At 39.8% G+C, this 16,774-nt stretch overlaps 1 protein-coding gene across 11 annotated transcripts in view; it reads left to right on the top strand.

Annotated features, from left to right (window-relative positions):
- ATP10B (ATPase phospholipid transporting 10B (putative)) overlaps positions 1-16,461 on the top strand; it is a 366,241-nt gene extending 349,780 nt beyond the window's left edge. For all 11 annotated transcript variants that reach the window (XM_017009252.2, XM_047416995.1, XM_011534468.3 and 8 more), the window contains 2 exons: positions 9,898-10,085; positions 13,681-16,461. In XM_017009252.2, the coding sequence (XP_016864741.1) occupies positions 9,898-10,085; positions 13,681-14,128 (636 nt within the window). In that variant the 3' untranslated portion in view covers positions 14,129-16,461. The remainder of the gene's footprint in view (positions 1-9,897; positions 10,086-13,680) is intronic.
- Positions 16,462-16,774: the final 313 nt, after the last annotated feature.

The following is a 16,774-nucleotide window of genomic DNA, read 5'->3' as shown; positions in this document are numbered from 1 at the left end:
ATGCTACAAGGCTACAGTAACCAAAACAGCATGGTACTGGTACCAAAACAGATATATAAACCAACAGAACAGAACAGAGGCCTCAGAAATCACATCACACATCTACAACCATCTGATCTTTGACAACTCTGACAGAAACAAGCAATGGGGAAAGGATTCCCTATTTAATAAATGGTGTTGGGAAAACTGGCTAGCCATATGCAGAAAACAAACTGGACCCCTTCCTTACACCTTATACAAAAATTCACTCAAGATGGATTAATGACTTAAATGTAAGACCTAAAACCATAAAAACCCTAGAAGAAAACCTAGGCAATACCATTCAGGACATAGGCATGGGCAAAGACTTCATGACTAAAACACCAAAAGCAATGGCAACAAGAGCCAAAATTGAAAATGGGATCTAATTAAAGAGCTTCTGCACAGCAAAAGAAACTATTATCAGAATGAACAGGCAACCTACAGGATGGCAGAAAATTTTTGCAATCTATCCATCTGACAAAGGGCTAATATCCACAATCTACAAGGAACTTAAATTTACAAGAAAAAGCAATCCCATCAAAAAGTACACAAAGGACATGAACAGATACTTCTCAAAAGAAGACATTTATGTGGCCAACAAACATATGAAAAAAGCTCATCATCACTGGTCATTAGAGAAATGCAAATCAAAACCACAATGAAATACCATCTCACTCCAGTTAGAATGGCGATCATTAAAACGTCAGGAAACAACAGATGATGGAGAGGATGTGGAGAAAACTTTTACACTGTTGGTGGGAGTGTAAATTAGTTCAACCATTGTGGAAGACAGTGTGGCGATTCCTCAAGGATCTAGAACCAGAAATACCATTTGATCCAGCCATCCCATTACTGGGTATATACCCAAAGCATTATAAATCATTCTACTATAAAGACACATGCACACACGTTTATTGCAGCTCTGTTCACAATAGCAAAGACTTGGAACCAACCCAAATGCCCACCAATGATAGACTGGATAAAGAAAATGTGGCATATATATATATACCATGGAATACTATGCAACCATAAAAAAAGGATGAGTTGTCCTTTGAAGGGACATGGATGAAGCTGGAAACCATCATTCTCAGGAAACTAACACAGGAACAGAAAACCAAAAATACTGCATGTTCTCACTCATAAGTGAGAGTTGAACAATGAGAACACATGGACACAGGGAGGGCAACATCACACACTTGGGCCTGTCAGATGGTGCTAGGGGAGGGATAGCATTAGGAGAAATACCTAATGTAGATGGTTTGATGGATGCAGCAAACCACCATGGCACGTGTATGCCTACGTAACAAACCTGCACATTCTGCACATGTAGCCCAGAACTTAAAGTATAATGAAAAAATGCATTTTAATTTTAAAAATAAAATGAGAGCAAAGAAAATGATGGCAAACAAAAAATGCAAAATGAGATGTTTAACTAAATTGAAATATATCAGTACTCATAGTTGATGCAAGTAGATTAAATTCTTCCTTTAAAAAAATTACAGACTGGATTTTTTTCATCCAGCAAAAATAAGAAATGGACAAATTCACAATCATAGTTTGATATTTTCATACAACTATATAAGAAACTGGTATAGATCAAATAGATGAAAAAATAGAAGGGGTATAGAAACTTTTAATAAATTGTTTGACCTAATATATAAAACTTTGCTCAAAACAGATAACATTTTTTCAAACATACACAAACCAGTTACCAGAGAGACAATTCTAAATCACAAAGGAATTTGAAAGAAAAAAAAAATCATAAAGTTTATGTTCTCTGACAAGTTATTTAAATTAGAAACCAGCAATAAACAGGTAGCCACATAAAACCTAACAAACTTAGAAATTTCAAAATGTACTTCTAAACAACTTATGAAATAAAGAGTAAGTCATGATGGAAATTCTAAATACCTTTTGCTCAATGTCTATAAAAATACTAGCACTTTTAATGGCAAAATCCACGATTACTTATGTACCAACCTAAGGATTAGAAATCCCCTAGGACGCGGTGCTCTCCAGCCCCAGAAAATCAATAATGATCTGTCTTAAGTAGGAGCAGTAATTCCTTTACCTTCAGCAGTGATTGGTCCAGGGTGGGCACATGATCCAGCTCTTAGCCAATGAGAGGTCAAGGGATACCTGTTTTTTTAATTATTATTATCAATAAGATAGAGTCATGAGGTAAAAGCCTTTTGTCCCACCTTTTCCTTCCTGCTTTTGTCAGTGCCCTGTGACCAAATGATGTGTGGCACTGCAGCCACTGTTTTGGGCAATGAGTTTAAGGACAAAGCCAACTACTGCTAGAGATCCCAGAGCAGAAAGATGAAAAGAGCCTGGATTCTTGGACACACTGAGCCCCTGGCTGCCAACCTTAAGATGTTTTGCTATAAAAGATGATATTTCTTCTTTGATTAAGCTGCTGTCAGGCACACTGTCACTTGCAGTTGAAAATGTAACAAATGCCATCACATTCCCAATGCCATATTCCTCAGATTACCTTCAGAGAAGGAAGCTAAAGCTAGCAAACCCTTGAAGGTACAGGGATCAGCATTCCAGCTGAGGTGTTTGGACTTTTCCTGGGAGGGAAATGTGTTCAGAAGATCCTCCTATCTCCAATGTGCCAACATCTACCTATGATACTTACCTCTCCTTTGCTTCACATCCTACCATGGTTCCCCATTGCTCTTAGGACAGAGTCCAAACTCCTCACTTACGAACCTGTAATATCTGGGTCCTGCTGGCCCCCTGGCATCACCAGTGATGCTTCCTACTTCATACTTAGACCCCAGCCAGACCAAGCTACTTTTAGTTCTCAAATACCCTATTCTTGCTTCTAGGCCTCTGCATTTGCTAATTTCTCTCCCATTTCCTCTGGCTCTCTTCTCATCCTTCAGGCCTCATCTCAAATGTTGTCTCCTCCAAGAGGCCTTCCTTGGTGTCTAGGCTGGATTCTGTAACCCCTTGGGGCTCCCATTGTGTCTTGTGATTTCTCTTATTAAACACTTACTGAACTGGATTGTGATTGTTTTCATAATTGCTCTGCACTATGCTGCTTCCAGCTCCCTTTCCTAACTTCTGGCCCTGATTACCAAATGTGAGCTTAGGCTCATGGCCAGATTCTTGGCTGTAGACTCAAAGATAACTGCTTCCCATAGACCCCTCCATCACTTTTTTGCAGTCACGTCTGTAGTTGGATGTGCTTGGTTTCTCAATTTGGTGACTTTTATCCTTTAAGTCCTTTTCTGGGCTTCACTTTCTCACTCCTCTCACAATTATGGGAGGTCTAGTCCCTGTAGTAAATCTCTTATCCTAGACACTCACAGTAACTCTTCTCCCCTGACTGATACACAATCCAGAGCAGACACTGTCTCCTGGTTTTGGAGATGGAGACATGACCCAGAACCCCATCCAAACAATTCTACCCGACCCCATTCACAGTGATTGGTTCAGGCATGTACATATGACCCAGTCCTGGCCAATGAGATCCTGCCTTAGGATTTTTGTTGGAAAGCAGGAGCAGTCTTTCCGCTGTGGTTGCTGAGCCAGTTGTTTGGAAGCCTGGAGCAACTGGCAATTTCTTGCCGTAATGTAGAAAGGACTACTGGAGAATGAGACCAACAGAGAGGAAAGCAGGATGAAGAAAGGGAGAGGTGCAGATTCCATGGGACATTGCTGAGTGCCTGCATCCAGCTTTGCCTGAAGCTAATCCTACCTCTAGGCTTATTATAGCTCAATTCAGTCATAGTTGGTTTTTTGTACCATCTAGTCAAAAGAGCCTGGCCAATGTGTGAACAATAACTATCTGTTAAATAAATGAATCTCAAATTGACTGTGGCTATTTAGGGGTTTTTTTTTATTTGTTTAATCCATTGTTTTCTTTTTAGAAGAAAAAAAGAATTTAGTGGGTTGTTGTTATATGAAAAATGAATCCTAGATAGAATCCTAGGAGGGGATTTTAATCATCATTTAATCCAGTGCTTTTTTTAATTACAGATATGGAAATTGAGGCTCAAAGAGGGTATCTGAATTGCCAGGATCACATGGCCAGGTAGAGAATGTATAATCTGAATATGCTCATAAGGAAACATCAGACAAATACAAAATGAGCATTATTCTTTCTTTAAACAAAAAGGTGGTAGGTAGGGTGAGAGTATTCCAGTATTTTTCAAAAATGTCACTGCCATAAAAAACCAAAGGCTACGAAATAGCCCAGATTAAAGGAGACTAAGGAGACATGAAAACTAAATGTAATATTTGACCCTAAACTGGATTCTGTGCTGAAGGGAAAAAAAACACACCATTAGGACATTATTGGATCAATTAACAAAATATGAATGTAAAAAAATTTTAGCTATGTTAAATTAATTTTAGCAATGTTAAGTTTGGTAAAATTTACCAAAATCCAGTCAAGATCACTCAGCAAGCCTGAATAAGCCAAATCCTATCCCCAAAAACATTAGACCCAAAGGATTTAAAGTTTGATCAAACTTGTAAAGAACAGTTAATCTCTATTATATCAATTTTTTCATGGAATAAAAAAATAGAAAAAGATAAGTGTCTTAGTCAGTTTATGCTATTGCAACAGAACACCTGAGACTGGGTAATTTACAAAGAATAGAAATATATTTCTCATAGCTCTAGGGGCTGATAAGTCTAAGACCAAAGCACCAGCAGGTTCAGAGTCTGGTGAGCACTGCTCCCTGCTTCAAATGGTGTCCTCTTGCTGCATCTTTGGGAAGGGCACAAAAAAAAAAAAAAGATGAATGCTGTGTCCTCACAAGGCAAAAAGAGATGAAACAAACACTGTGTCCTCACATGGTGAAAGGGCAAAAAAAGCACTAGGATGCTTCCATCATCCTCTTTTATAAGGGCATCTAATTCATTCATGAAGGAAGATCTTTCATGACTTAATCACTTCCAAAAGGCCCCTCCTCTTAATACTATCACAGTGGGTATTAGGTTCCAACATATGAGTTTAGAGGGGGCACATACATTTAAACCACAGCAATAAGCAATTTGTTTTTCATGGCTATAATAACTGATATCAAAATGGGCATGGGCAGTTCAAGGAAAGAAAATTACAGACCAATCTCACTAACATTAGATGTAGAAAAAAAATTTTTTTTGAGATAGAATCTCACTCTTGTCACCCAGGCTTCAGTGCAGTGGCGCAATCTGGGCTCACTGCAACCTCCGCCTCCGGGTTCAAGTGATTCTCCTGCCTCACCCTCCCAAGCAGCTGGGATTATACACACACACCACCAAGCCCAGCTAATATTTTGTATTTGTAGTAGAGACAAGGTTTCATCATGTTTCCCAGGCTTGTCTTGAACTCCTCCTGACCTCAAGTGATCCACCCACCATGGCCTCCCAAAGTGCTGGGATTACAGGCGTGAGCCACCGCACCCAGCCAGATGTAGAAAATTCTAAATAAAATAGGGACAAGTCATTTTGGGAGTGTGTTAAAGATGTTAAAGCATAACCAAGGAACTTCCCTATCCTGTTAGTAGATCATAAACTCTGAAGAGTTATTTGAAAACAGCTAGAGGAATGTAAAGTACTCATTTTTTTGGCACAATTCTAAGTACATACCTCAGAAACACTCTTGCACACATATATGTGGAGACATGTACAGGAATGTTACATCGTTCTTAATAGCCAAAAGGGGGCCTAAATATTCATCGATCAGAAAAATAAGTTGCGGCCTGTTCATACCATGTAATAGTTAAAATGAACCTACTAGAGCTATGTCTTTCAACATAGATAAAATTTTAAAGCAGTGGTCCCCAACCTTTTTGGCACCAGGGACCACAGAAGACAATTTTTCCATAGAATTGAGGGGTGGAGGTGGTTTGGAATGAAACTGTTCCACCTCAGATCATCAGGCATTTGAGTCTCATAAGGAGCATGCAACCTAGATCCCTCACATCCACAGTTCACAATAGAGTTCTCGTGCTCCTATGAGAATCTAATGTCACCACTAATCTGACAGGAGTTGGAGCTCAGGCAGTAATGCTCACTCACCAGCCACTCATCTCCTGCTGTGCAGCCCAGTTCCTAATGGGCTATGGACTGGTACTAGTCCATGGCCCAGGAGCTGGGGACCCCTCTTCTTTAAAGTATAAAAGCAAGCGAAAAAAGCTGCAGAATTGTCTGCGTCTTCTCAGGCTGTCATAACAAATACCATAGACTGGGTGGCTTAAATAACAGATTCATTTCTCATGGTTCTGGAGGCTAGAAGCCCAAGATCAGTGCAGCAGCTGATTCAGCATCTGGTTCAGGCCCTCTTCCTTCCTGGACAGCTGCCTTCCAGCTATATTATCACTCACATGGCTGAATGAAAGAGAGAAGGATCAAATCTCTCATGTCTTTTCTTATAAGGGCACTAATCACATTCATGGGGGCTCCCCCTAATCACCTTCAAAAGGCCCCACATCAAAATGCTATCACATTGGAGATTAGGGTTTAAACATTACTAACTTGGGAGTAGGAGGACATAAACATTCAGCCCATACTAGAAGGATACATATATGATAAAGCAAAAAAGCATCCATAAACATGGGTAAACATGTACACGTGTATGAAACGTGTCAGACTGATACACACTGAATTTGTGTTCAAGATGAAAGAGGTCATTTGCAAGAGATATACACTTGCTTTAATTGTATCTGTAAGACTTAATCTTTCCATAAAATCTGAAGTAAATATAAGGTTAAAACCGATGAAGCTGAATGTTGGGTGTATGAGGTTTATTGTCTATAAGCATGAAATATTTCACAGCAATTTAATTACACTTTTAAAAACTAGTCCAAGATATTTTCCAAAAGGAATTCTCCTCTCTATGACTCTCTTAATCATTAGATTTTTTAAAACCATTCAAAAGATTTAATGTCCTGAAAGATTTTTAATCAGAACTCAACATTATATTAAATGAGTGGTGAGACTAAAGATTCTGTATTCTGATTGAACACTCAGTCCTCTTTCTCAAAGCACTGAAGCCATCTGCTTTAAAAGAGAAAAAGTACTCTTTTAGCACTATTAAGCCACCTAATCTATCTTCAGACTAGGTACCCTCAATAGTTACTGGTGATTTCTGGTGATTTGGGGAAAGGAGTCAGCTACTAAAATAATTATGAAAAATAATGCTTCCCTTTTGAAAGTACTTGAAGCAGGAAGAGAATCTATTTCTTCCCTGGATAGAAATATAACAAGAATTTTAAGAGCTTTGACAGTTTCAGTCCCCATTAAAGCAATTGAAAAAGTTAGCTAATTGCTTTCTTCTTCAGGAAACGGCGCTAGGTTATTTAGATCACATCCCTCACTGAGAACAACAAAAAATACTGGATAACTTTAAAAAAGGGGAAAAAAAAACTCTTTAAAAGCATGAGCAAGCTGACAAGAAAGCAATGACCAAACCTCAGGGAAAAGGAGATGCTAGAGAAACAAATTGAGCCAATGCTTTTCTTAAGGGTATTGGCAACTATCCCAAAAATGAACTTTTGTTTTGGCAGACTTGATTGAGCAAAAGTTTCAGAAATCAATACCTAGGCTCCTAAGTTAGGAGTCTAAGAGACAACATTAAAATAGGATCCCAAAGGCTGTGACTTCAAGGTAAGGATATACTCAGAAGTACACCCAATTATACTCCCTCCCCAGCTGGGACTGCAAAGATTTTTTTCCTCTGTGCTGAAGAGAGCAGAAAGAAATCAGCACCAATTTGCCCTGGGGAAATTGTGACCACAGACTGGCCTCAGGTACATATGTAGCCCAGGTTCATGTTACCTGGGTGAGCCAAACTTTCACCTATGAATTGAGCTTAAAGTACCTCAAGATTAGCAGTGCCCAACGATTGCAAAATACAAACACACACACACATGCATATGCAGATGTACACAATTCTTTTCTAGAGAAAGTTACCTTTATTCTAAGCCTCAAGTTGTGTCTAACTTTTAGCACAATAAGCATATTCAAAAATAATGAACCTCATAAAAGAATGAGTCCATGAGTGAAAAACCAAATATCAGAAACAAATATTTTAGAAACTGGAATTATCAAATATAAATTAAAGGAAAATCTATGTTTACTATGTCTAAAGAAACAAAGAATAAGCTTTAAAATATCTGCAGGGATTGGTAAACTATATAAAGCAACCTAGCAGATTTGAAAAATCAATAGAAAATTTAGAAATAAAGACTACAATAACTATAAGTTTCAATGGTTGGCTTAATAGAAAATTAGATATAGCTAAGGGAAGAATTATTGAATTGGTCAAAAGAAGTATTTGGACTATAAAACAGGAAAAGTAATGAAAATTATAGAAGCAATATTAAGAAAATAGAATGATATTTTAAGTGGTCTGACAAACATTTAATCAGAGTCTCAGAAAGAAATGAGAGAGGGAATGAAATATAGGCAATCTTTGAAAAGACTGTGATGAGAATTTTGCAGAAGTGATGAAAGATTCCAGCTCAGCAAAACCCAAGCAAGATAAATAAAAAGAAATTCATACTTACTCTGTCATAGAAAACTATAGATCAAAAAGACAAAAAAAAGTTATAAAAGCAAGCAGGCTTTAAGAGATAAAGATTTCCTTCTAAGGAAGAACAAGTGGAGATTAATAACTTCTTAATAGCAATAATGGAAGCCAGAAGACAGTGGAATGCCATATTAAACACATTGAAGGAAAATAGCTGCCTAACAAGAATTCCATATTCATCAAAAGACAAATTTCAAGAACAATGAAATAAAGCATCAGAGAGCATATCACTGTCAGACTCCCAAAAAGGACATTTTACAGGATGCACTTAAAAAGATACCTCGGGTGGAGGGTCCAAGGAATGGAGGCGTGAGAAGTGATAAACATGTGAGTAGATCTTAGTGAATACTGACCATACAAACAATAATGCCAGTGAGTTGAGTGATTTTAAAAGATGACAGAATTAAAACAGCAGCAAAACATATTAGCCAGGAGGGATGTAAAGAGAGTTAAAGTGCTCTAAATCTCGTGTGTAATTCAGGAGGATGGAAAACTAGTTGTAAGCTTTAGACTGCAGTAAGTTTGCTTGTTTAGACTGCAGTACATTTGCTTGTTTAGACTGCAGTATATTTGCTTGTTTAGACTTATTGAGTAATCACTAAAAGAATAGTCCCAAAATTATACAAAATAGTCAATATGTTTAAAAGAACAATAGAATGACTATAGTTAACATTAGCCGATTGTGTATTTCAAAATAGCTAGAAGAGAATCATTTGAATATTCCTAGAATAAAGAAAATATTTAAAGTCATGGATGTCATGATTACCCTAATTATATATGAATATACCAAATTATTACATGTACCCTGAAAATATATACATCTAGTATCAATTTTTAAAATTAAATAAAAATAAAAGACAAGGATGGGAAAAGAAAAGCACAAAACAGGCAGGACAAAATACGATCAAAAAACAGAATACTGCGCTGCTTTGAAAATGAATAAACTACTGCCATGTGGAAAAAATGGGCTCATCACACAAACATAATATTGAGGGAAAAAAAACAAAAAGTCATACGAAACATGATTCTATTTATCCATTTAAAAACAGGCTATGTTGGAAAACCTAGATAGGTGGTAAACCTACAAAGGATAGCATAGAAATTATCACCAAAAGCAGGGGTGAGACAGAATAGGGTCTTCTGGGGTATGTGTGTTCAATTCTACATGGCAGCAATCTGGTGTTTGCTTTATAATGATAGATTAAGCTGCACACTTTTTTGAATTTTGTGTGTTTTGCATTTCAAAAATAGTTTGAAACAAAGTTAATCAAGTAGTTTGATCACCCTGCCTCCTAATCTCAGCTATACCTTCAACAGTGTTTGCTTATTTCCCTCCACAGACCATTTTCCACGGAGTCGTGCTCCTCGGCAGCTTCCTGATGTACTTTCTGGTATCCCTCCTGTACAATGCCACCTGCGTCATCTGCAACAGCCCCACCAATCCCTATTGGGTGATGGAAGGCCAGCTCTCAAACCCCACTTTCTACCTCGTCTGCTTTCTCACACCAGTTGTTGCTCTTCTCCCAAGGTTTGAGCACTAGGGCTGTGTTTCTTTCCTAAAATTACCAATCTCCCTTTAATAAGCCATTTTTATAACCCAAGAGTCAGGAGTTTGACTTCTGCTGGCATCCTTGAGGCTAATGTTTCAGAAACAGAGAGATGGGACAGAAAGAACAATGAATGACAAAGGAGGCAAATAACATGGACTGTGGTCCCAGGTTAGCCACAAAGTAGCAAAGTCACCAAATCAGTGTGACCTCAGTTGTGACATCTATAAAATGGGAGTATCAATTCCTACCCTCCTGCCTTACAAATTTTTTGTGTAGTAAGGAATTATTTTGAGAAGCTCTATGGTCCTTTATTGTATTAGTCCAGGAATCTTATACTCAAATGCCTACAGGGACAGGCCAGCAAGTTCAGCAAGCCAGATGGAGTACAGATATTGGAAGAAAGAGCTTCTCAGCTTCTATCATGGCCACAAGGAAAGATCAAGTCAAACATTCCAGAGCTTCAGCATTTTCCCAGAAATTCAAATTGTGCATGAAATTGCCAGTGTTTAAATACTATTCAAATTTGTTTAAACACACACCTTCCATACAAGACCTGCATTAGACAAATAATCCATGCCCAGGGACTATGTCAGATATTTCCAGGTTAAACCCTCTGCAGTAAATGTGCCTTTTCCAGAAAAATAGCAACAGCAACTATAAATGCCTTGCCTTGCCTTGCCTTGGAGCTCACTCTTGACATAGGCTCTCCCATCTAGCCTCTCATTTTGTTTTTGCCATGAGCTAAGTGTTGGGCAGAGCTATGGTTCTAGTACCCCACTCATGGGACAGCTGAAGTACCAAGAGGGACCAGAATGTGTTCACAGGCCTACCACAGATCATAGTCAGAGCTAGGTTCTCCCAACTCAAAGGCCAGTGTTCTATTCCGCAGCCCACTCTCTCTAGTCAGAGCAGTGAACTTGATGATGATGTTCCCATAGGAAAGACTTAGCCTCTCTCCATCTCACCACGCTGAACATCGCAATCAAGCCATTTTATCATTTTAAGCGATAGCAAATAGACAATTATACAAAACTTTTTATCCCAAAATTAGAGACCTATCAACAGGCCTTACTTCCTTTAATAAGTTTGGTGGTTTGCTTAACCTAGTTTCTCTTGTCCCTAGGTTCTCTTGCCCCTAGGTTCTCTTCTAACTTTATGTTCTCTCCATAAAAAGCAATCACTATCATGGATTTAAAAATTTTTAGCAGACGACTCTTCACCATAAATTCCCCCCAGACCTCTCTTATGAATTCCAGACACATCTTTCTAGCTACCTATTCATCACCTCTACTGGGCATATTAAGTCTGAGGAAACTGGGAGACATTTCTAATTGAATTCATCATTCCACCCTCTATCACCGGCACCACCCCAGAAATCTGGGTATCTCTAGAGTTTCTTTCAGCAAATGCTACCCACTTGGGACAAAGGCAGGCCCCAGGGAATTAATCTTGACATCACCTGCTAACTCATGCCCATATCTAGCCTTTCACCAAGTACTGACAGTTCTATCCACTACGTATTTCTCAAACCCATCTACTATTTCCATTTCTACAGCCACTACTACCAATAGACTATTACCCTTTCACCCCAAATTATTTCGGTAGTCTCCTATTGGATCTTACTCTAGTCCATTATCATTGGCTCAAAGTGTGATGTCACCTATTTATAACCCTCCAAGGGCTTCCCAAGACCTCTGCAATAAAGCACAAAAACCATAAACCTGGCCCCCAATTCCTCCCTGCTCTGCTTGGGCCAACTCCTCCTAGGACATATTCCCCTACTCTTATCACTCCCCAAGCTTCAGCCATCATGCCTAGGTTTTGATTCTCATCCCTTTGGCATGGCTACCTCCTATGCATCCTGCAGTTTTCAGCTTTAAAAGGTTACTGTGTGTAAACCTTTCCCCCAAGCCACTACCTTCCTCCTCCATTCATTTATTCAACAAATACTTTTCAAATCCCCACAATGGGCCAGGCCCCCAAAGGATTAAGCCATGAACACAAGAGACAAGATTTTTGCTGTCATTTAACATGTGACTATAGTTATAAATGGAGGGGGCATTTCCTCAAGGAAGAAACATTTAAGGGCGTGGATTTGAGAAATACATGGCCGGTGGAACTGTCAGCACTTCCTTCCTTGAGGAAGAAATATTTAATTTCAGTGATCAGGTGTTTGATGTTCGACACTCTCATTGCCTTCTCCATTTATAACTATATTCACATGTTACGTGACAGCAAGGACCTTGTCTTTCCTATTCATGGCTTAATCCCTTGGGGACCTGGCCCATTGTGGGAAATTGAAAAGCATTTGTTGAATAAATGAATAGAGGAGGAAGGCAGTGGCTTGAGGAAAAGGTTTATACTAAGGAAATTCCAGTTTTGAAGCAAAAAGTCAAATATTTCCTGGGACACATACATGGCCCCTACTACCTCACTGGGTGAGATGTGAGAGAACAAAAAAAGTTTATCTGGTTCCATGAGATCCACTGTAATTTTCAGAAATCTCTTGCCCACTGGCAGGGGTTGGCCAGGGGTAGAGGGGTCACCTTGCAGCTTTTAGACATAGTGGAAGAATAGAAGCCTTCCTGCTTATAAGACTTCAAACATAAAAAATATTTAAAGACTATCTTTGGGAATGACCTTAGATGTCCTCCAGGTCAGATAGATTACTTTTTTACTTTTCAGATAAGGCAACAGACATCTGGAAAGTGGATGTGAGTTGCCCACTGCCACGGCTTGTGTATATTTTCTCCATACACCGCATAGTTATATTCACATTCTCACCCCTTTCCTTGCCTACACTTTGAACAGAGAGAAGATTCTAGACACAGATAAAGACTTCCAATTCCAGAGTCTACTACAGACTGCATGCAGCTTGGCAGGGGGATAAAATCCTTGAGTCAGTCAACAGGGAGATCCGTTAACGTCTCAGGAGACCTTAGGAATCTCACCTCACCTCTTGGGGCCCCTATTTCTTTATCTGGCAAATCATAGTAATATGATGACACTGTCAAGTACAGCAAGGCCCACAGATTCAAGAAAAGAATGTGGATTCTAAAAGTACTTTAAAATCATCAAGTTTCACAAAGGCTTAACATGACAGAGCAATTAAATTTGCCTAAATTGGAGTAGCCCAGAAATAGAATGGACTGCTTTGGGCATGGCAAAAAAGAGACAAGTCTTTGGATTCAGAGAGTGTGGTTCTGACCATAGCTCAACCACTGTGTGGCTGTGGACAAATCATTAAATCTCTCAGTCCCTCAGTTTCCTCAAGTGTACTCAGAGGCAAACAAAAGTAATAACCACATGAGATTGTTGGGAAAAGAAAATGAGTTAATAATACATAAAGCACTTAGAATAGTCCTGGTGTATAATAAATGTTAGCTGTTATGTTTTGTTGTTATTTTTGTTGTTGAGCTACCCAAGACTAGAGGTGCCCAGACATGGATTTAATAGCAGTAAAGAGGATCTTGCTCCAGGCAGGGAGTTGGATTCTAAAGACTATCTTTTAATGCTGAAGTTTATGAAGTCAGTGGAAATCAGAAATATCTTTATTCTGTTGTTTCCCACCAGATACTTTTTCCTGTCTCTGCAAGGAACTTGTGGGAAGTCTCTAATCTCAAAAGCTCAGAAAATTGACAAACTCCCCCCAGACAAAAGAAACCTGGAAATCCAGAGTTGGAGAAGCAGACAGAGGCCTGCCCCTGTCCCCGAAGTGGCTCGACCAACTCACCACCCAGTGTCATCTATCACAGGACAGGACTTCAGTGCCAGCACCCCAAAGAGCTCTAACCCTCCCAAGAGGAAGCATGTGGAAGAGTCAGTACTCCACGAACAGAGATGTGGCACGGAGTGCATGAGGGATGACTCATGCTCAGGGGACTCCTCAGCTCAACTCTCATCCGGGGAGCACCTGCTGGGACCTAACAGGATAATGGCCTACTCAAGAGGACAGACTGATATGTGCCGGTGCTCAAAGAGGAGCAGCCATCGCCGATCCCAGAGTTCACTGACCATATGAGGAGCTGCAGAAATCTGTACAAACTCAACAGAGGCCACCTAGTCACTGGTCCACATAACCCTTGACCCCTTCTTCTTCATAGAGGAAACAATGTGCCAGTCTTATTCTTTTCTTCAACAACCTTGACTTCCATGGAGGAAGTGCTGGCCCCAAGGGGTCTGACACAAAGACGGGAAACCCAGTCGGCCTCTAGTTTTCTGCTGCTCTCAGGCAGCACATCTTGCAAACAGTTTGGAGAAGGAGGCTGTTTTTGTTGAATCGAGTTCTCAAATCGGTTTAGACCAAAGCCATTCTTCTGACCCTCTAGATAAGCGTAGCCTACAACCCAGTGCCGTAAGTTTCCAAGATTCAAGAAGTGTATCAACCCAGGCAATATCTCAGGATATGGAAGTTTCTGGGTTTATTTACCCCTCAGTGCCCAGAGTTAAAGTTTCAGAAGAGACTTGTGCACATAAGGGCTTCATCTCAAGTGTATTGCAGTAATGGCTGAATCGGGGTTAACATCCCTTCCAGGCACAGCGAGTTGGTTCTGCTTTTTGCCTGTAAGCCAAAGAAAAGCCACATCTAAAAAGCTACTACTAAAAGCCAGAAAGAAAAGTGGATTTGAACTCAGTGTCACAGACTCTTCTGAGTGTTTTAGGGTCACAGCTAGTGTAAGAGGCATGAAGAATAGACATGCAAAAGGGAACGGGTGCACCAGAGACCCCTGTTTTGGCTGACAGACCATATGTCCCACCAGCTGGGGAATCTGACAAGAGGACATAGGTGGCACTCTTTTTTTAAAGCTATTTATTGTATCTATTTTTAAATAAAATTGCCCATCCTCATTCAGCTCTTAGAACAAAAGCAAAAAACCCTGTAAATCAGGAGATATAAGCACATCTGCACCCAGAATAGGCCCATATGATAGGGCAACCCTGAGCTTAAACAATGACATCTTCAAGGGTAGAACTAATCTGAAACCCCATTCAGCCTATTCCAGAATGGGGATAGGCTGAAACCCCCTTCCAGCCTCTGGAAGACACTGGCCTGCATCAGTTAGAGTCAGAGCAAGTGTCACTTCACAGGGAAAAGAAGGATTATATAGACTTCCTATCCCTAGAGTTTATAAATGTCAACTATATAAAAAAAGCTCAAAACAGTGTTAAAGGAATGAACAGTAGAATTTTAATAGGCTGTCCAAAGAAGCCAGGTCTGCTGTGGGCAAGTATAGCCTAACCCTAGTCTTGTAAAATAAGCCAGAAAGGGTTACTGAGCCACCTTAAGCTAGTACCTATATAGTAGGCAAAAAGTACAGAAATAGATGCAATAAGTGTGGTGAGTCTTTGAGCCTACGAGTCATGCCACCAGCCATAAGTTGACCTATCACTTGAGAACCTCCTCAGCAAAGATGCCAGAAAACATTCAATCAAGTTGGCAAATGACACAGGGAGCTGGCCCTCTGACCATCTTCCTGGCAAACCTGGACTGGAAGGGCCATTTGCAGCACTGTCCTGGAGCTAATACACTGTTTCACTGCCTCTGCCATATAATGATGCCAGCACTAGCCAGCTGGTGGGTATTTGGAGGAATCCTGCATGAGGATTGCCCAATAAGGGGCAGGTACACATACCTGGCAAAGTGATGATGATGTGAATTGTTTCCAGTGAGGGGATTGAGTCAAAACTTGGATCTCAGGTACCTCAATTTTTCCCCCAATTTCTGGCTACTACTAAAAGCCAGAAAGAACAGAACAGTGGCCTCAGGAGATCTGAGTTTGAATCCTTGCTCTCTAGGATGCAGGTGGCTTGAAGCAGAATGCCACACCTGCAAGTTGATTAGAACTGCCTTTCTTCCCAGGCTTGACATAGGTATTAAGTCAAAATTACATGAAACCCAGTGGTAAAAAAGCCTCTGAAAGCTGTAACACCCTCAGTAATAACAAAAGGGATTTTTATTTCACAGCTAAAGGGAAAATAGGTGGAGAAGTTAAAAAATAATGTCTGATCCTGTTCCTAAGTTCCAAACTATAGCCAACACTCTGATGCTGCTCTTTTTCTTGTAGGACCAACCGTCCCAGTTTGCCTGGGACTTTCTCATTTTTACAGAGTCCCAAATCCTAGGAAACTGGAGCAACTGGTACAACTGGTCACCTACTCTTGCCCCTCTGTAAATCAAGCCAACTGTGACCATCCAATGTGCCATCTTACAGGGAAAAGTTATAACCACTATTCCCCTATAACATAATGCTAATGATTGTACTTAGTACATTTTTATACTTTTATGATATTTTACTGATTGGAAATGTCATCCTTTATTAAAAATAAACATGGTTTTCCATAGTTGCCTGCCAACCTAAGTTCACATTATTCTTCTTTTATATCATTATCACTAGTTCTGAGGACTTTCTCATCCACCCATCCTCTTTTGCATTCATTCATTTATTCATTCATTCATTTATCTATCTAATAAATTTCTGTTAAGCCCCTGCTAGATGCCTGACAATTTGCGAGGTGCTGTGAGGAGCTCAATCTGTCTTTGAGAAGCTCACATATTTGTTGAGCATCCAATGCTGCCAACCCCCACTGAACGTATAGAGTATCAGGAACATATTCGGCTATTTGACCCAACATGGAAGTATGACACAAACCAAAAGGGCTGCAAGAA

The sequence above is a fragment of the Homo sapiens genome, chromosome 5 (genome assembly GCF_000001405.40).
Source record: "Homo sapiens chromosome 5, GRCh38.p14 Primary Assembly".
Taxonomy (NCBI): Eukaryota; Metazoa; Chordata; class Mammalia; order Primates; family Hominidae; genus Homo; species Homo sapiens.
This window is presented reverse-complemented; position numbering and strand designations above follow the sequence as displayed.